A 22439-nucleotide genomic window follows, 5' to 3' on the forward strand; every position below is an offset into this window, starting at 1 on the left:
AGCCTTGGATTTGAAACTATAATATTTGTTACACAGAGAGAAGATGGTTCTTTTTTATATTTTATTTTTAATTTTTGTGGGTACATAGTATTTATGGAGTACATGAGATGTTTTGATACGGGCATGCAATGTGAAAAAAAGCACATCATAGAGAATGGGGTATCCCCTCAGTGATTCTTTGAGTTACAAACATTCCAGTTACACTCTTTATCTTATTTTCAAATATATGATTAAGTTATTATTGACTATAGTCACCCGGGTTTGCTATCAAATAGTAGGTTTTTATTATATATTATTTCTTTTTTGTTTTTTGTATCCATTAACAATTCCTGCCTCCCCCTCATTCTCTCACTACCCTTCCCAGCCTCTGGTAATCATCCTTCTACTCTCTATGTCCATGAGTTTAATTGTTTTTATTTTTAGATCCCGGAAATAAGTGAGAACATGTGATGTTTGTATTTCTGTGCCTGGCTTATTTTTCTTGACATAATAATCTTCAGTTCCATCCATGTTGTTGCAAATGACAGGCTTTCATTTTATGGCTGAATAGTACTCCATTGTATATATGTACCACATTTTCTTCATTCATCTGTTGATGGACACTTAGGTTGCTTTCAAATATTAGTAATTGTAAACAGTGCTGCAGCAAACCTAGGCATGCAGAAATCTCTTTGATATACTCATTTCCTTTCTTTTGGGTATATACCAAGCAGTGGGATTTTTGGATCATATGGTGGTATATCTGTTTTTTTCAGGAAACTCCAAACTGTCCAAGGGATAGTTCTGTTGTGATTACTTCATTGAGAAATTTAACTTATGAGCAGTTGAAAGGAATGCAAGTTGCTGGAAAATCAGAATGAAGAGTGCAAAATGACCAAGCTACAATGTATTGTCATTATTCACTCTGATGTGAAAAAGGCAGTGAATTCAATAGAAAATAACTTTGCAGAATAAAATCTCAGGTGTGTTTTTTTAGTGCCACAGTCTTGGATGATGGGCTTCTAGATGTTGAGTCCTAGAAGCTCTCAACATCTCTTCTTAATTGGAGAAAGTGTTAAGCCCCAAAGTAGCTGGAGCAGTACATCTTCAATTTTTGACAAGAAAGCAGGAACTTGGTTACTTTGAGTGTTATTCATTAGTTTCTGCTTTCATTGAGAATGCAGCAAAAGCCAACGAGGCTGCTGCTAACTCCTTGCTGGACATCTTCTGCCACTATCACAGGAACTGTGATCTCACTGGACAATTAACTAGGGAGCCTTTCATCTTGAATGACTGCTGCACAAATGATCTTCAAAGCATTTTAGCCACCAGAGGAATTCTCTTCAAATACCCAAAATCCATCAGTATCTTGAATCATGCTGGATTTTGAAGAATTCTTAACAAGCCATGTAAAGGGGGCTCTCTGGCCTTGAAATAGTGATGTTTTTTATACAGAAAGGAGAATGCCGAATGTTCAGACTACCATGCACTGTTAAATTTGATTTCAAGAAATTACAGGAAAACTTTCCAAAGTTCCGTCTCACAGAATTTATTTTTACAAAGAATTCCAAGATAAGTTTAGTTTTATGGAAGATTTTTATGTGGTTTTTACTCACTCTTCATCTCAGACATCAACCGATGATTACATCACTTATTTAGCTAGTAAATTTATTAATATAAAACTCAGAGACATTCCAATATCCACATTGCTTACATCATCAGGCATAGATTCAATGTCAGCTATGACAATTGAAAATAAGCTGTTTTGTGATTTAAAGGTTTAAATTTCTCTAACCAAACAGCTTGATCCAGATGCAGCACTGCAAATGTTAATATTTGTTCTGGAAGAGCAATCAAATAAGACTTAAGAGGAAAAGGAATGGCCACAATCCACCTGAAATTTTTTTTAAAAAAGTATGCAGCCTACTAAATCAGAATGAAAATAGAAGTACAAGATTATAAACAAAATGCAATCAAACTTTTCTTAAGCTTACCTAAAGTTATTTTATCTGAAAATTTCAAGCAACTTTGATCAACATTAAATTGACAATCTAAACTAACAAGTCTTTTGAATTTATGTATGGTAGTAAACATTCTCTCTATTAATTTTATTACCTAAGGCTAAACCTAAAATTTTTAAGCAAAATTAGAAAGTCTTCACTTATCAAAAAATAAAGTTTGTTACATTTAGTATTTTCCCAATAAAATTGGTCATTCTTGGTTTTTTATTTGGAGAATCTGTGCAAAATTTCACTGAAAATAAATTAGAACTAGAAATTATTTCTAAATACCAAAAAAAAAATGAAGAATGGTTTCACAAAGAAAAAAAGAAAACTTGCTTAATTAGCAGAGTATCATCTCTGTGATTTTTGTGATTATTTGATCAGTGTCCTGAGATGGATACAATGGCAAGTAATGACAAAATTAAAATAAGCATGCAGATTTTTTTAAATTAAGTGCCAAAAAATAATTGGTCATGCAAAGCCCTTAAAAATATTGTGGCCTAATTCTAAAGTTTTTTGCTACTATGCTACATCACACGCAACATCAGTTAAGTGCTCATTCTGTGACAGGTAGTACATTACATTTTAGCAAACTACACAAGACCCCTATGTGATAATATGCTTCAGGGTTGTAAGGTTGGGTGCATTTACTAGTCTTGAATTTTCTGGGAGTATACAAACCCAATATTAGTCTAGATGCCCACAAATCTATTTAGACGTCACAGTAGAATGGAGAGTAATCTTGACCACAGGAAGCTGTGTTGTGGCATTTATTTTGAAATTATTTTTTCTTGATTTTTTTGCCTTTTGTTTTGTGAGTTTTATAATGTACAGAATATTTTTAAATTATTATATATATCAACTAATTAGTCTTCATTTAAACTTACGCCTCTGGGGTCTTACTTGGGTTTCTCCTAACAATATTATACACATATTTGCAATAATTTCTCTCATACTGCTTTTAACTCATTTAATTTTTCAACTTTTTAAGAATAACAAAAGTGATATTAATTGTAAAAATGCTGAAGTGACATATGAATTTATGAAGTGCATATGTATTTTTTAGTTTACCAATGAGATGGGAGAAATGCTGTCTTATATTTTAACATACATTTTGGCCATTACACAGATGAAGCAACTTTTCATTTGTTAATACATAATGCATACTTTTTCTTCTGTGCAATTCCTCTTTGTATTCTTTGCTCATTTTCCCACTGGGATTTGCAAGTTCTTTATTATTTGATAATCTCTATACATTCTGAATATCAATTTTTTGTTATATATACCATGTAAATATTTTCTTCTAATTTGTTATTTGTCTTTTAATGGTATTTATCAATTGTTTGCTAAAAATGAGTTTGTTTAGTTAGTAAAATTTGTCTATCTTTAACTTCATGATATTTGTATATCATGTCATGAGGAAAAGGCATGAATATTTTAAAAACTTCCTTGTAGTGTTAATTTTATTTTTTATTTCATTCTTTAAGTTATTTGAAATTTATTGTTTATTTCTTCAAATTCCAAATAATAACCAACTTTCTCAAAGCAATACTTCTTTCTACTGATTTCAAACGTTACATTTGTCTTCTCTGAAGTTCTTGTTTTTTTGATACCTGACTGTCACACTACTGCTGTGGATGTGCTTCATACCATCACAGTACTGCAGGGTTATAAGATTATCTGATAGCCAATAGAAGCAGACGTCTACTCACTGTCATTCTTTTGTCTTTTGGAGAATAAAGTTAGCTATTTTTATCTGGGTTCTCAATTTTTTTTTTTTCTTTTCGAGATGAAGCCTTGCTCTCTCACCCAGGCTAGAGTGCAGTGGTGCGATCTTGGCTCACTGCAACCTCTGCCTCCCGGGTTCAATTGATTCTTCTGCCTCAGCCTCCTGAGTGGCCAGGATTACAGGCATCCATCACCACGCCTGGCTAATTTTTTTATTTTTAGTAGAGACAGGGTTTCACCATCTTGGCCAGGCTGGTCTTGAACTCCTGACCTCGTGTTGCACCCACCTCTGATTCCCAAAGTCCTGGGATTACAGGCGTGAGCCACCGCACCTAGCCGGGTTCTCAGTTTTGTATAAACTTTAAAATAGATTATCAAATCACATACCAATTACCATCTGATTGAAATTTCAATGTTTTTATACATAAGTTTCGAGACTAAAGCCATCTCTATTCTTTCAGCACTTCAGATGTTTATCTTTCAATTCAAAATGTATTCTAAATTTTATTTTGATGTTTCTTTGTGAATTATTTAGAAGTTTGTTGTTTGATTTCCAAACACTTGTGTGTTTACTAAGTATCTTATTGATATTCATTTTTTTCTTTTTTAATTTATATTTTAGGTTCAGGGGGTACATGTGCAGCTTTGTTATGTAGGTAAATTGCATGTTGCTGGGGTTTCATGGAAAAAACAATTTAGTCACTGAGGTAGTGAGCATAGTACCTGATAGACATAAGTAATTTTTCAGTCCTCACGGATTTTCCACCCTCTACCCTCACATAGGCCCTGGTATCTATTGGTCCCTGTTTTGGACCATGTGGAGCCAATGTTTATCTCTCATTTAGAGGTGATAATATATGCTTTCTTTTTCTGTTTTGGTGTTAATTTGCCTAATTTGTGGGACGTAGCCTCCAGCTACATCCATTTTGTTGCAAAAGCCATAATTTTATTGTTTTTTTTGTTGCTATGCAGTATTTCGTGGTGTATATGTACCAATTTTTTTTCTTTTTGAGATAGAGTCTCACTCTGACACCCTGGCTGGAGTGCTGTGGCATAATCTGGGCCCACTGCAACCTTCACCTCCCAGGTTCAAGCTATTCTGCCACCTCAGCTTCCCAAGTAGCTGGGTCTACAGGCACGGACCACCATGCCTGGCTAATTTTTGTATTTTTAGTAGAGGTGGTGTTTCACCATGTTGGCCAGGCTTTTCTCAAACTCCTAATATCAAATGATCCACCTATCTCGGCCTCCCAAAGTGCTGGGAATACAGGTGTGAGCAACCACGTCAGGTGGTACACATTTTTTTTTCTAGTCCACCACTGATGAGCCTCTAGGTTGGTTCCATGTTTTTGCTACTGTGAATAGTGCTGTGATAATCATACAAGTACATGTGTCATTTGGTAGAACAATTTATATTTCTTTGTGTATGTACCCAGTAATGAGATTGCTGCGCCAAATGGTAGTTCTGTTTAAGTTTTTTGAGAAATCTTCAAACTGCTTTATACAATGGCTGAATTGATTTACACTCGCAACAGAAGTGTATAAGATTTCCCTTTTCTCTGCAACCTCAGCAACATCTGTTATTTTCTGACTTTTTATTAGTAGCCATTGTGATTGGTATGAAATGATATCTTATTGTGGTTTTCATTTGCATTTCTCTAATGATTAGTGATTTTTGAAATGGAGCATTTTTTCATATTCTTGTTGACAGCATGTATGTCTTTTTTGAGAAGTGTTTGTTCTTGTCCTTTGCCCATTTTTCAATGAGGTCGTTTAGTTTTTGCTTAAAATTTTTTTTAAGTTCCTTACAGGTTCTGGATATGAGACCTTTGTCAGATCCATAGTTTGCAAATATTTTCTCCCATTTTGTAGGTTGTCTGTTTACTATGCTGATAGTTTCTTTTGTTGAACATAGTCTCCTTAGTATACTTAGGTCCCACTTGTCTATTTATGTTTTTGTTGCAATAGCTATTGGAAACTTGATCATAAAATCCTTGTTATTGCCTATGTCCAGAATATTATGTTCGGGGCTTTTGTCTAGGGTTTTTATAGTTTTAGGTTTTACATTTAGGTCTTTAATCTATCTTAAGTTGATTTTTTTAATAAGTTGGAAGGAAGTTGTCCATTTTAAATCTTCTGAATATGGCTAACCAGTTATCCTAGTACCATTCATTGAATAGGGAGTCCGTTCCCATTGCTTCTAATTATAGACTTTGTCAAAGATCAGATGGTTGTAGGAGTGCAGCCTACAACCTTCTCTAATCTGTTCCATTGGCTTTTGTGTCATGGTTTTTGTACCAGACCTATGATATTTTGGTTACTATATCCTTGGAGTATAGTTTGTGAACCCCCAAAATCTGAGACAGGTCTCAGTTAATTTACAAAGTTGACATTGCCCAGCTAGCTATATGTAGAAAGCTGAAACTGGATCCCTTCCTTACATCTTATACAAAAATTAATTCAAGATGGATTAAAGACTTAAATGTTAGACCCCAAACCATAAAAACCCTAGAAGAAAACCTAGGCAATACCATTCAGGACATAGGCATGGGCAAGGACTTCATGTCTAAAAACACCAAAAGCAATGGCAACAAAAGCCAAAATTGGCAAATGGGATCTAATTAAACTAAAGAGCTTCTGCACAGCAAAAGAAACTACCATCAGAGTGAACAGGCAACCTACAGAATGGGAGGAAATTTTTGCAATCTACTCATCTGACAAAGGGCTAATATCCAGAATCTACAATGAACTCAAATTTACCAGAAAAAAACAAACAACCCCATCAACAAGTGGGCGAAGGATATGAACAGACACTTCTCAAAAGAAGACATTTATGCAGCCAAAAGACACATGAAAAAATGCTCATTATCACTGGCCATCAGAGAAATGCAAATCAAAACCACAATGAGATAGCATCTCACACCAGTTAGAATGGCAATCATTAAAAAGTCAGGAAACAACAGGTGCTGGAGAGGATGTGGAGAAATAGGAACACTTTTACACTGTTGGTGGGACTGTAAACTAGTTCAACCATTGTGGAAGTCAGTGTGGCGATTAATCAGGGATCTAGAACTAGAAATACCATTTGACCCAGCCATCCCGTTACTGGGTATATACCCAAAGGACTATAAATCATGCTGCTATAAAGACACATGCACACGTATTTTTATTGCTGCACTATTCACAATAGCAAAGACTTGGAACCAACCCAAATGTCCAACAATGATAGCCTGGATTAAGAAAATGTGGCACATATACACCATGGAATACTATGCAGCCATAAAATTGATGAGTTCATGTCCTTTGTAGGGACATGGATGAAGCTAGAAACCATCATTCTCAGCAAACTATCACAAGGACAAAAAACCAAACACCACATGTTCTCACTCATAGGTGGGAATTGAACAAAGAGAACACCTGGACACAGGAAGGGGAACATCACAAATTGGGTCTGTTGTAGGGTGGGGGGAGGGGGGAGGGATAGCATTATGAGACATACCTAATGTAAATGACGAGTTAATGGATGCAGCACACCAACATGGCACATGTATACATATGTAACAAACCAGCACGTTGTGCACATGTACCCTGGAACTTAAAGTGTAATAAAAAAATATATATATATATATATATAAGTAAATGGCTGATCAGGAAAAAAAATTTAGGAAGTAGAATTCAACAACACATCAAAAAGATTATACATCATGACTAAGTGGGAATTATCTCTGGCATGCAAGGTTGGTTTAACATATGTAAATCAATCAATGTGATATATCACATTAACAAAATGAAAGATAAAACCACATGGTCACCTGAATTGATGCAGAAAAAGCATTTAACAAAATTTAGCAACCTTTCTTGATAAAACCTCTTAATAGTTTATGTATAGAAGGAAAGTTCCTCAACATAATAAAGACCATTTATCAGAAACCCATGGCCTACATCATAGTCAGTGGGGAACAACTAAAAGCTTTTCTACTAAGATTGAGTACAAGATAGGGATGCCCAGTCTCATCACTTTTATTCAACATAGTACTTGCAAGAGCAATCTGATGAGAAAAAAAAAGCAACTAAATTAAAGAAGTAAAATTATCTCTGTTTGCAGATGACAAGAATTCATTAATTCCTTTACACATTTTTAAAAGTCCTCCAACATGTTTTCTTATTCTCGTTTGCTCATAATCTTCAGTATCCATATTCTCTGATCTGTATTTTGATCTTTTAAAATACCTGTTGAGTATCCCTTAGCAAAAATGCATGGAACCAGAAGTATTTTGGATTTGGGATTTTTTTCAGATATTGGAATATTTGCATTCTACTTACCAGTTGAGCATACCTATTCTCCTTTGCAACAGAGTGCTAATATTCTCTTCTGTCTTTTTTGTTTTGTATGGTGGTCTATTTCCATCTTCTTCTGGAAGTTAACATCTATGCCATCAACAGTTCTCTAAATTTGTCCTGATTTTTCATGTTTCCTTCTTCAAAGATCTCTTGAGATTTTTGGTTTCTATGCCCAACTTAATTTTTGTGTAGAATCTTTAACTAGTTGTCCAGTCCCAAGAAACCCATCAAACTTCACATGTCTTTACTGACAAATGGACATTGCATTTCTCATTGATTTTACTATCTCTGGGGAGGTGTGCTCCCTGAAGGCAGCACTTTTATTTCCAGTGAAAAAGGCACGGTTAGGCAATATGGGAAAGGCATTTCTGAATTTCAGGACCAGTCCTAAAATTGAGTTTGGGTCAGTTCTCTCTAGAAAATATTCTATTTTATCTACAAAGCAAAATTATTTTATTCCTTACAATAATATCAGAGACAGTTTCGCTACTATTTACATTCAGTCTTTTGCCCTAAGTCAAACAGTCAACTCTGGGAGGAGGAGATCTTTGAAATAAATTTATTCTGTACCCTATAGACAGACACAAATTCTTTGGAGGCCTTTAGTTATATCTCCCTAAGAACTATGAAGGAAGATAATAGGCAACTGACTTCAAAAAATTTTGTTCTATTTTTTTGAAAACTCGACTCATTTATGCTCTCCAGTGTCTTATCTCCATACTGCTCTGTGTTTTACTTCTGAATCAATCTTCCCTCCCTCCCAAATATTTTCAGTGTGACTTCTGGAAACCTCATTAGAGGACATCGACTCCATTTCTTTGCTTTAATTAAAATTCAGCTATCTGTATGGGGACATTGCTTCCCTTGACGTGTGCTCCACTGAAGGCTAGTCATTTTCCCAAAGGCTAAGGTGTCATAGAATTTATTTAATAGAAGTAGGTTGGCATAATTTTAGCTCCATATTTCCTATTCCCAACCACTATTCCTCTATTTTAATACAAAAGCCCCCTCTTTACTGTCTATCCATCTAACTATAATGTCTTCTAACTATAATGTCTTCTAACAACTGCCACATTTATTCCAGAACTTCCTCTCCACCCAAGCAACATCATTTTCTCAGTTTCCTCTGAGACTTTTTCTTGAATTCAGCCTTCCACTGCCTATATCTTAGACATTTTTTTAATGGCCTCAACTGTTCCATGTAAAGAACCATAAGCTTAAATATCCATATTCTCTTAGCCTTATTTTGATCTTTTAAAATACTTGCTGAGTATCCCTTATCGAAAATGCATGGGACCAGAAGTATTTTGGATTTTGGATATTTTTCAGATTTTGGAATATTTGCATTATACTTACCAGTTGAGTATCCTTAATTTGAAAATCTGAAATCTGAAATGCTCCAATGAACATTTCCTTTGAGCATCATGTAAGTGCTCAAAAACTTTCAGATTTTGAAGCATTTCAGATTTCAGATTTTCAGATTAGGGATATTCATTGTTTGGCTGCCTTGGCTTGGGGCCACAATTTTATCTCCTGCTAGGGCAGGCTCTTCAGACCCACTTCTTCCAGCTGCTTCAGTGTAGGGAAGTAGTTGGCAGGCTTACTGTGAAGCTCCTCCCAGACTTTAGCCAACTTCAATCTCAAGCCACAGGCAGAGAGTCTTCTTGGTGTAGTTATAGTCCTTTCCTGCCCTGTTTTATGTTGGTTAGCTCCAGCTTGAGTTCCTCTCTTGGAGCCTTTACTAAAAGTAGCAAGAAGCAAGCATCTTATACCAGACACTTGAAATGTTTTCCTCCATGTTCTTTGGAGTTAGAGGTTCAGATGCCATGTGCTCTACCTTCCATGACATCATAGATGGTGGTTTTAACAAACATTTGTCCATGGCCTAGCAAAACTCACCAGCTTTATCACTGTCACATGCTGCGGAATTCTGAGTAAATGCCATGTATTTCAGATTATCTTCTGTTCAGCTCCTCTTCCAGGTACAAAGTTTTGTGTTAGTTAAGATGCAGGTTTGGTGGCTGTGATAGAAGTTCAAAATAAGAGTGGCTTAGACAAGAAAAGAGACTATTTCCCAGTCACATAATAGAACAAGTTGTTAAGGTGGCATAGCTTTACAGGGAGGTCAGTGCTTGGGTATCTTCTATTTTTCTTTTATCCAGTCACTATGGCATGGCCTTTGTGGCCCAAAAGAGCTCATCACCACATCTGCATGTTAGCTAGGGAAAAGGGGAAAATACTCCCTTCACTGACACACAGCAGTCACCAAAGCTGGTCACGTGGCTATTGAGAAGGTGCAAGGGCAGCTGGGAAAACTGCAGTGCATTCTGGGTATTGGTGAGAAGGCAGCCACTCTCATCTACTCTGATATTGAGAATTACATGTGATTGCTTTTAATTTTCATGTTAAACTTATTATGTGAGTTGGAACATTAAAGAAAAAATACACAAACAAATAAACTAGAGAATATTTTCCACTCCATTCATGTGACCGCCAGTCTTTGATGGAGTTGGAGCCTGACAGAGATGAGAGGCAGAGCTCACAGGATAGAAAGATTTGAATTTGACTTTACTTTTAAATGCTTTCTTAATAACTGAGTCCAAAAGTTAAGTTAAAAAAAAAAACTTGTTTAATTCTTCCCTCTGTCTCTAGGTAGCCCTGCATTGACATTATCATGAATACATTCCATTTAAAAACCTCCTTGAAAAGACAGTTCACTAATTGCCTCTATTAATGTTTCTCAGTTTTCTAGCCAAAACAAATATCTCAAGTTGTGCATTTCCTTTACGTAACAGTGTGCAGTTGTGATAAACAAATTATACATGGAACTGACATGATCCTACAACATAAACTCTTTGAGAACTGAGGCTGTGCATTTTTTAGATTAGTAGATACTTTGCAATTTTTTTAATGGAGTCTCACTCTTCTGCCCAGGCTGGAGTGCAGTGGCATCATCTCAGCTCACTGCAACCTCTGCCTCCTGGGTTCAAGTGATTCTCCTGCCTCAGTCTCTCGAGTACCTGGGATTACAGGCATGCGCTACCACGCCCGAATACTTTTTGTATTTTTAGTAGAGACGGGGTTTCACCATGTTGGTGAGGCTGGTCTCGAAATCCTGACCTCAAGTGATCTGCCTGCCTCAGTCTCCCTAAGTGGTGGGATTACAGGCATGAACCACCTCGCCTGGCAATCTTCTTTCAACTTAATCAGCCCTTATACACTCAAAGAGTTACTTGGATGCATGCTTTCTCATTATCTATTTTTGTCATTGCATATATCTGAGGAAGGATAATGAGACTCTACCATCAGTAGAAGGATGGTTGGATTATCAAGTGCAACACCTTATAGCCTATCTTGACTTTTCTCCCAAACTTCCTGGAAGAAAAGATGGGATTTTCTGACTCTTTTTAACTTCCTAGGACTAGAGAGCCAGGAAGACAGAAAAAAGGGGCAAAAGGGGCCTTACTTTTAACTTGGTACAAAGTTTATAATGGGAACATAATAGTTCCAGAAAGCAGAATAGAAGAATCTTATTAAAGAAACCAAGACAGGGAGCTTCATTAACATTCTGCTCTTGAACTCATGCTTTTATTATATACTTATGTGTAGGGCTATTCTGAGGACCTACTATTCATTTTTTCAAATAATTCATATTTTAATGTATTTACGTAGGTAATTTACATGACATTATTTTTAGAAATCATGACCTATTTCAACCTGTCATTGTTATCTATGGCTTAATTTCTGTGAAAAGCAATGAAGTCTGTCTGCAATATAGCTATGATGATCTCTAATTTTGTAGTTCTCTAATTTGTTCACACATTTAGAATGACCTTTTATGCCTTTCCAACTATGGCATCTTCTATTATTATATGATTTGGGTTGAAATGTTCACCAATACATAGTGCTTGAAATGCATATTAAAAAAGTATGAACAAGGGAGAATAGAAGTTGATACAGAAGCAGTAATACACAGTGTTCTCAAACAATCCACCTAAGTTGCCATTTCTAGTTTCATGTCTCATAATCCAAAATCCTGGGGAGCTGCCACTGAATCATTTCTTCTCCTAATCATAAATACCTAGACCCAATACACCAGGGAATACCAGGATCTTGAAAAAAATGAAAGAATGGAATAAAAAATCAGCCTCAGGAAAGCAGCCTAAATATATTTGAAGATGACAGATTGGTAGGTAGGTAGGTAGGTAGATAGGTAGATAGATACCTAGATAGATAGATAGATAGATAGATAGATAGATAGATAGATAGATAGATAGATGATAGATATTCCAAGACTATAAAACTATGAACCAATTTTTAAAATCATATAATCTTCTAGTATTATGCTGAGCTGAGATCACCTGCTTATACAAAATTCAAGACACATTCAAAGAGATCTTTCAGTGATAATTTTTTAATCAGAAGGAAAAAGTTTTAGATGCTACTTGAGAAAAGGACAAAGTATAGGTGGAGTTTCTCTTTTTTGCCAGTTGTTATTACTTAATTACACTATCTTTCTGGCCATAAAATGAACAAAAGGATTCATTCACTTGTCTCGTTAGGTATTAAGCATCAGTTGTCGATTCATTCATTTCACACATTTCACTAGTGACACTGAATACTGCAGAGCCTAAGATGAAAGGGGAAGCAATTCACAGGCCGATGAGAAGATGCACGATTGCCATTCAGGTACTGAGGGCTGCAACAGAGGAAGGGTGGTGAGAGCACTAATGAATTCTTGCTATTTTCTGATCATTGTCTCATCCTAATAACAGCTCCCTGGAAAAGGTACTATTAATCCCTAAAGAAACTAAAATTCAGAAAGATTAAATGACTTTCCCAAAATCACAAAACCAATATGCAATAGAGCCATAAATCCAATTCAGGCCTGTCTCATATCACAATTATTTTCTATCTGCTACACCAAGTGGCATCCTTGAGTTTTGCAAGATGCCCTCAGTGCCAAGGCATGAGTCCTTACCAGGGAAACTTTCTTTCTTTCTTTCTTTTTTTTTTTTTTGATGGAGTCTCACTCTATAGCCCAAGGTGGAGTGCTGTGGTGCAATCTTGGCTCACTGCAACCTCTGCCTACCAGGCTCAAGTAATTCTCCTGCCTCAGCCTCTGGAGCAGCTGGAATTACAGGCATGTGCCACCATACCTGGTGAGTTTTTTGTATTTTAGTAAAGACGGGGTTTCACCATGGTGCCCAGGGCAGTCTTGAACTCCTGAGCTCAGGCAATCCACCCGCCTCAGTCTCCCAAAGTGCTGAGATTCAGAGAAATTTTCATGGAGAGGGGACAGATGGAGTCATTTCTTGTGGGGTGAACATGAGTACCATGGGTAGACTGAGGTTGGGAAAGATTTTCCAGACAATTGGAAGAGCATGTGAAAGACACAGATTTTGAGAAATGTCAAGTCTAGGGAACTGCAAGCCTTTTGGCACAAGAAAGCCACTGTGGACTGTAGAGGCAGGATGCCTAGACTCAAATCCCAATGGCTACACTTCTAAGCTTTGCAATTTTGGCAAGTTTTTACCCTCTTTTTTTATCTATAAAATATAGATTTTATATATATAGATATAGATATATAGATAGATAATAATAGTACCTGCCTAATAAAGTTGTCAAAGATTAAATGTTATATGTGAAGTATTTTGTACAGTGATAGGAACCCAGGAAGGGCTCTATGAATATTATATATTATTATTATTCTAAAGTAGCCAGAATACAATTGTCAAAGGAGATAGTGGCCGGAGATAAGTTTGAATTGAAAGACTGAGGCCAGAACATAAAGTGCCTCCTATATTATATTTTATATAATTGGAACATCATTGAAAGATTTAAGTATTATTTATGTGTGTATGTGTGTTTTATATAATTAATTCTAGTTCATCATTTTAAAATATCTTTCTGGTGTCACTGTGAACAACAGATGAGAAGAAGTGAATCCTGAGTTAAGGAGACCAGCTCTCTGATTACTGCAATAATCCAGGGAGGGTACCATAAGGATTTCAACTGGAAATGAGTCCATCATGATGGAGAGGAAGGACAGGGCTGAAAAATACTTAGGAAGTAGTATCAGTAGGACTTGGTTAAGAGAGAGCAGAGGCAGGCTACAGGGGTTGGAGGTGTCAATCACAGAGATAGGGAAAATGGGAGGAGAAGCAGGCTTTGAAAAAGTGGCTTGTCTTGTAAAATTATGTCCTATTAAAACAGTAAAAGAAATTAATATATTCAATCCCAAAATACAGGTACAATTCTTTTTGAAAGAGTTACCCAGATAATCTTGCTTGAAGTTTTCAGTTAAAGAAATTTCTTGTTAACAAGTAATGTAGTCATAGAAGAAAACACTTAAAACTTTATTGAATAAAGCTAATAAATCATTTAATATAATTTATAGGAAACTGTTACATAACACACACATTCAATACTTTTTGCTAAAGTATAAATTAATGGAAGGAGAGCACACACACGGAGGTTGAATTATGTTTATGACTTTATTAGTCAAGAATACAAAATTGAGTAGCTACATCAAGCAGAAGCACACAAAGCAGAAGCTTTACAATCCAGCACAGAATCCCTTGACTTCCAAATTCCCGAAACAGACATATAAATACAGATGACATTGTCAGAACAAAATAGGGTCTCACCAGACCTATAATGTTCTTTTCTTGATATGCACATGAATTGCATACGGTCATATGGTGCCAATTACCATTATTTCCTCTGGGCTTAGCTATCCATTTAAGGAGAATTTACACCAACACTGTACCTCTACTTGCAAGAATATATGAAAGCATAGTTAACTTCTGGCTTAGGACCCCAACTCAGGATCAACAAAGCAGTCCTCTTGGGGGAAGCCCATTTCGCTACAATTTAAAGTCATTATAAGCATTAAATAAAAGCTAAGTACTTGTAATCAAGTGTGTTATAATGCAGTTAGGGAATTGGATTTCAGGTGTTTATTTTTAACAGAAATCCATTAATTCTGACACCTAAGGCAAATGCTAGTCAACATGAATGGAGAAACTTTTGATTAGTGGTATATGTTTTCAGATTTCTGGAACATTCATAGACGCTTCAATGTCTTATGTACTGAAATTTTTTAAACCATTGTTTTCTCTAGAAACTAATGAAACTCATCATAAACTCATTTTTCAATATTAAAACATAGTCATAAGTAGAATATTAATCTTATATTAATTAAGATGTTAACATATGTGAAATTTAATACTTCCTGAAAGGAAATGTCTAAAAGAAACTGTTTTAATTCTTCAACCACAAGGACTACACGGGGCAGTTTCAGCACCAGGGATAGTTTTCTTCCTGGATAACAGCGAATGCTCTAATACTGATGAGTAAATCCTGTGTGTCTAACTTCAAATTAATTGTTAGGTTTATATGAATGAGTATAACATGATAGTTAGGAGCATAGGCACAAAGGAAACATTCAGATTTGGTGTTGTTGTCCTTGCTATTATTCTTGTTGTATGTGAGGCTGTTATGATAAAAGATACTGATTTAGGTCAAATACACATATTACTTGTGGAAAATTAATAACTCTAATTAAATATTTCTTGTTTCATACACATTAATTTTAAATACAGCCCAACAATGGACCACTATTTCTCAATACAAGAAAGTAATACATAAAAATCATGAAGTTCTTCAATCAAACTTAAATAATGCTTATTGCAAACATAAAACATAAAAAACAACACATTTTTAAAGAAATATTATCTTTCCAAACATAGCCATATAATTCCTCTGTATTAGAATTTTTCACAGGAATTCTAACTAGTATATTTTTGTACATGCTTTAAAGAATAAAAAAATTTGAACTGTTGACCAAATGTGATATATTATATACTATTGTGTGTATTTTAAAGTGAGGGTAAAAAAAGACACCAAAGCCTCTGGGAAGTTAAACTATAAATTAACTTACAGAATTAATTAATTAGGAAGTTAAACTATAATTAACTTACAGAAGTTACCAAGAGGTGTTAATGCCTACCCTAGGAATGACTATAAATCTATTAGTTAGAATTTTCATATATCTCAATTTTTAATATGTAATTGTTTTGAAAAATTTGGCCAATTTGAAAAAACCATTAATATGTAAATAAATATATCTATATTAATACATATTCTTTATTAATTCTTTATTAGATACTAATCTGGGTTCTGCACAATTTTGTATCTGGGCATTTATTTGTTTTATATGCCAGTAACAAATATAAAACTTTTTGAAGCCACCAATATATTTTTAATGGATGGAGCCATCTCTATGCTGATATATCACAGTTACTACACCAATTTATAGTTAAGAGATATCTGAATGTGATGTTGGACCTAGGAAACTAGTACTTGTAAACCCAATCACCAGGAATGCATGGTTGAATGGCCAAAATTCAGGAAACGTACAGGTGGATAAACCAATGATCCATTAACCTAACAGTATAATGGTTCCCAGGAACCAAGGGGAACAAAATTGGTTGGAGAAGAAATATACGATACTTGCAGAAAAAAAAAAAAACAACTTGCTGCTAAGGCCAGGTTCCTTACTGGCATGCCAACCCTCCATCCTGGGGGTAGCCAGTCCTGAGTGAGCCTGGCCTGAGGTTCGCTGGTAATCACTACACATGTCTAGCTAGTGGCATTCCTTGGTCAGATTTGAATGTAGAGATAGAAAGCAAACAAACAGTTACCTAAAGACAGTAATTCTCTGCCATCCACAGGAGGGTTTTGCCTAGCATTCACATGCATGTTGCTACAGTACAATTGATTCATTAATTAACTTTAGCCAGTTACTTAGTAAACTCAGGTCAACAAGAGAGGAGGCAATGCTTTCTTTCCTAGCTGAAACCATACATACTGAGGATCTAATAATGAGTGCATACATCAACGACTGAGTTTTTTTACTTTCAAAATATTTTGTGGTATCATGAAAACATGGTGTAAATCCCAAGGGAAATTTGTCTAGAGATTTGACAAAGCTTTATCTTGCTGTCCAATTAGAAAATGGATGACTGGAAAGGTTCTTCTAAAAACTGTCTAAGATATTTATTGCCAGAATTTTCTTGAGGAGAAACTGTTGGTCCAGTTCCACCTACATTCCCTTACCTCGATCATGTAATCCTGAGCACCTGCTCCTCAAGAGTCAATGCTTTCCTTCAAAGGATCCTTATACATACACTGGAGCTGACACACAAAAGTGCCTTGCTGCATTTTTGAAGATCTCAAATTTGGCCTCTCGTTTACATTATCCTTCATTTTGTTCATCACATTTCCAGTTTCCTGACTGTTTACCAAACTTTATATTGCCTTCCTATTCCATTCTTGAGGATCCATGGTCACTGCAACTGTCTTTTCAGGTTTGCCCCAACTGTGGCTTGTGTGACCAGTTTTGATTCCTTGCCATTTGATTCCTGACCACTAGCTCTGGGCATGGAACCTGCCTAGCTCCAATTTTTTTTTTTTTTTTTGAGAGGGAGTCTTGCTCTGTTGTCCAGGCTGGAGTGCAGTGGCCACTGCAACCTCTGCCTCCCAGGTTTAAGCGATTCGCCTGCCTCAGCCTCCCGAGTAGCTGGGATTGCAGGCATGCGCCACCACACCTGGCTTATTTTTGTATTTTTAGTAGAGACGGGATTTCCCCATGTTGGCCAGGCTGGTCTCAAACTTCCTACCTCAGGTGATCCGCCCGCCTCGGCCTCCCAAAGTGCTGGGATTACAGGTGTGAGCCACCACGCCCGGCCCTGCTTAGCTCCTTTTAACATCCCCCACAACTTGTCACACACTTTATCCAAACCAGTTCCCTGCTCTGAGTCTACGAGCCGTGACTCACTACTGCCTGTATTTCCAGATGACTGGAATTACTGCTCCATTCCAGACTGCTGCCAGAATTAATGCTATTGCTTTCTCTGTAATACTTTGTACTTTTCAAAGGATCATAATTTATCTCATTTGTGCTTACAACCCCTTGCTATAATGAGAGCTGTTCATTCCTATGCTCTCATTCCTATTTCATTGGTAAGAAAATCAAGACTCCAAGAGGCCAAATAATTTACTTAACACAAGCAATGATGATTCAATACTTTGAATGCTAGTTTTGAGGACCTTATTGTTCTCCCAAAATCATGTTTTAGGGAATTTAACAGTCCCATAGAGGAATGATTTTATTCTGACTTTAAAACCTTTTGTTTTTCTTCCTTTAATATGTGACATTGCCTTGTAATGTAAGTAATCTGTGTCAAACTATTGAATGTATTGAATTTTTAGAATTTTTACCTTTAAGTTATTTCCTCCTTTCTTTCCTTGAGACATTTATCAATTATTTACCATGTATCAATCAATGAGCATAGCTTATTGCTGCAGAGTTTATTTATAAGCTATAGTCCCTGCCTTCAAGTAGTGCTAAAGTAGTCAGGAAAAAATTGTATAACAAATTACTACAAGACTATATTTTTTTCATAAAAATAAATACCATAAAAAAGTATCATTTTCTGAAATCATATTATTTATATACATTTTGCTAGTTTATTGTCTGTGACCTGTATTAGAACATAAGCTATATGAGGACGGGGACTTTGTTTCATTTACCGCTATATTTCCTGTACCTTGAAACTACACATGGCTTGCAAGATACATTCAATAGATACGTGTAGTAAGGAATAAAATGTTAGTTCTCCTTTAGGCTTTTAAGGGCGCCTGTAGTCCCAGCTACTCCGGAGGCTGAGGCAGGAGAATGGCGTGAACCCCGGGGGGCGGAGCCTGCAGCGAGCCGAGATCGCGCCACTGCACTCCGGCCTGGGCGACAGAGCGAGACTCTGTCTAAAAAAAAAAAAAAATTCTCTTATGTTTCTAGTGAATGAAGACTGTTTATTAGATACCACATGAGTGGCACTCATTGCATAATCAGTTAGTAGATTTACTTTTACATCTATTTTTTGAGTGGTCCCAGCAATAATTAGTGAAACATAGTGTAAGAACCAACCATTACCCCTGTTTTATAAATGACGAAACATACTCCAAGATTATGTGAATGGAAAAGGAAACATGGGAAAATCATATTTCTGAACATGATTTGTACAATTACAGGTTTTGCTTTAGGAAGACTCACTATTAAATGTGTGTGAGTGTTTGTGTGTGTATGTTTTTATTATAATAGTATATATGCTTATTGCAAATCATTTAAAAATAAATGTGAAGAAGAAATGGAAAGTCGCCCGTAATCTCATTGCTCCGTGGTCACTATTGTAAACATTTGACATTTGTTAAATCTATTATTTATGTCCTGTATTCAAAGTAGTGTGGAGGTAGGCAAGATCACTGGACTAGTCAGGAAATTTGAATTGTCTACCTGTCTGTTACCTTAGCTTTTGACCTTGGTGTAGGGATTCCATGATTACCAACATTTAATTTTTAAAATTATTTCTTACCTTACCTTCTTCTCCAGTTTCTACTGTTATTTCTATTAAATAAATATGACTTTGTTTTGCAGTGAGATAGCTAGATTAACAGCATTGCCTTTATAGTCAGTGAAGAATAAAAGATGATGTTTCACTTAGCTCATGTAGTTCTAGTTCTCAAGAATATGATATGTGATACTTTTTGAAATATTAAAAGTCATTTAAACAGTATCCATTTGACTATATAAAAGCCTAGCTAGGCTCTCCATGAAGGGAGCAATTCAAATAGATGGTTTGTAACATCTTTTTCAGTTTTAAAATATGGATACGCTGATTCCTTTGCACATTGATATATGAACTCATTCTTCCTTCTTATTATTCCCCAGGTGGTAATAATTTTGCTTCTAGACCAGCAAGCTAATATATCAAAAACTCTTACATATAAATGTAGTTGTTTAAAAATATTTATGCTGTGTAATGTCTGTAATTTATGAGTTACAGACATGATATCCATTATATTTTTGCCTAATAATTCATTTTTAGGAAAAACTAAGAATAAAGTTATTCTTTGTATTTTTACCAATCTTTTCCCAACCAAGTGTTACTGAAACTGTCATTCCGAAATCTTTTTACCTTTTAAGGTTCTCACTTTTGAGGCTGAGAACTATGAAACTAGTATTCAAATTTGCATTCATTGTTGTAATTTCTGGCAGCATGTCCAATTTACTTCTACTGTTAGGTGCTTGTTTGTTGTACTTATGAAGAACTAAGAAGGATTTTCTAGTAGCCCAGAGTTATGTTATTTTTTGCTTAGTGACAATTTTTACAAGAGACCTTATTATAATGAAACCAATGAAATGCATCACAGTACCTTTTTCAGAGTGCCAGTGGCTTATGAGATATTTTTTGATGTAAACTTGTTAAAGCCATGTAACTAACCAAGCTTATATCCTTACTGTAGAACTAGAGACATATTATAAATATTTATAACAAACAAAATTGGGGTAAGAATCCCTCATTTGCTCTATTTTTTGGTCAGTCAATAAATATATTTTTAAAAATTTGTGTCTGTGACTGGTTTTGGTAACAGTGTAATACTGGCCTCATAGAATGAGTTTGGAAGTATTCCTTCCTCCTCTATTTGGAAGTATGCCCTTCTCTATTTTTCAGAATAGTTTGAGTGGAATTAATATTAGTTCTTTAAATGTTTGGTTAGAATTCAGCAGTGAAGCTATCATTTCCCAGACTTTTCTTTACTGGGAGACTTTTATTACAACTTCAGTCTTGTAACTTGTTATTAGTCTGTTCAGGTTTTGGATTTCTTCCTGGTTCAATCTTGGTAGTTGTATATGTGTAGCAATTCATAAATTTCTTCTAGATTTTCCAATTAATTTGCGTGTAGTTGCCCACAGTAGCCGCTAATGATCCTTTGAATTTTTGCAGTATCAGTTGTAATGTCTCCTTTTTTATTTCTGATTTTCTTTATTTGGATCTTCTCTCTTAGTCTGGCTAAAGATTTGTCAATTTTGGTTAGCTTTCCAGAAAATAAACTTTTCATTTCTTTGATCTTTTGTATTTTTTATTTCAATTTTATTTATTTCTGCTCTGATCTTTATTATTTCTTTTCTTCTGTTAATTTTGGATTTGGTGTGCTCTTGATCATTCAGTTCTTTAAGATGCAGCATTTGATTGTTTATTTGATATTTTTCCTCTTTTTTGATATTGGCACTTATAAACATCACTCTTAGTACAACTTTTGTTGTATCCCATAGATTTTGGTATGTTGTGTTTCTATTATTATTTGTTTCAAGAAATTTTTCAATTTCTTTCTTAATTTCTTCATTGACCCACTTGTCATTCAGGAGCATATTGTTTGATTTCCATGTATTTGTATAGTTTCCGAAATTTCTCTTGGTATTTCTAGTTTTATTCCATTGTTGTCAGAGAAGATGCTTTATATTATTTCATTTTTTTGGAATGTTTCAAGATTTGTTTTGTGACCTAACATATGGTCTGTCTTTTCAACTGATCCATGTGCTGAGGAAAATAATGTGTATTCTGCAGCTTCTGGATGAAATGTTCTGTAAATATCTATTAGCTCAATTTGGTCTGCAGTGAAGATTAATTCTGATGTTTCTTTGTTTTCTTTCTGGAAGATGTGTCCAATGCTGAAAGTGAGGTTTTGAAGTCTGCAGATATTATGGAGCCTATAGCTGTCTTTAGCTGTAATAGTATTTCCTTTATATATCTGGGTGCTCCAGTGTTGGGTGCATATATATTGAAATTATTATATCCTCTTGCTTAATTGACCCCCTTATCTTTATATGGTGACCTTCTTTGTCTCTTTTTATAGTTAGCTTTTGTCTTGAAATTTCTTTTGCCTGATATAAGTATAGTGACTTCTGCTCTTTTTTTGGTTTTCTTTGGCATGGGATATCTTTTTCCATCTGTTTATTTTCAGTCTTTATGTGTCTCTATAGGTGAAGTGTGTTTCTTTTAGGCAACAGATCAATAGGTCTTGTTTTTTCATCCATTTAGTTAGTCTGTGTCTTTTGATTGGAGAGTTTAGTGTATTTACATTCACTGTTATTATTAAGTAAGGATCTACTCTTGCCATTTTGTTTTTGGTTTTCTGGTTGTTTTGTGGTCTTCTTTCTTGCATTCTTGTCTTCCTCTAGTGAAGATGATTTTCTCTGGTGATTTAGTTACTTGATTTTTATTTTTTTTTGTGTCCATTGTATGTTTTTTGGTTTGAGGTTACCATGAGCCTTGCAAATGCTGTCTTATCACTCATCATTTTAACCTGATAACGGGATACTATTTGCATAAGCAAACAAGCAAAAAGAAAACTAGTAAAAACTTGCCTTAACCTCATTTCCTTGCTTTTTAACTTTTCGTTTTTTCTGTTTATATCTTATTATACTGCCTATGTCTTGAAAAGTTGTTGTAGTTATTATTGTTGTTTAATTCATCATTTAGT

The 22439-nt window shown here is 35.2% G+C and overlaps 1 long non-coding RNA gene across 7 annotated transcripts in view; it reads left to right on the forward strand.

The window, feature by feature from the left end:
• LINC03124 (long intergenic non-protein coding RNA 3124) overlaps positions 1–22439 on the forward strand; it is an 84906-nt gene that overhangs the window by 13615 nt on the left and 48852 nt on the right. For 3 of the 7 annotated variants that reach the window (NR_149016.2, NR_149014.2, NR_149015.2), the window contains exon 6: positions 756–3737. The exons of the other annotated variants lie outside the window; for them this stretch is intronic. This is a non-coding gene — a long non-coding RNA (long intergenic non-protein coding RNA 3124). Of the gene's footprint in view, positions 1–755; positions 3738–22439 lie in introns of those variants that run through there. 7 annotated transcript variants of the gene reach the window in all.

This window comes from Homo sapiens, chromosome 2 (assembly GCF_000001405.40).
Source record: "Homo sapiens chromosome 2, GRCh38.p14 Primary Assembly".
In the NCBI taxonomy this organism is placed as follows: Eukaryota; Metazoa; Chordata; class Mammalia; order Primates; family Hominidae; genus Homo; species Homo sapiens.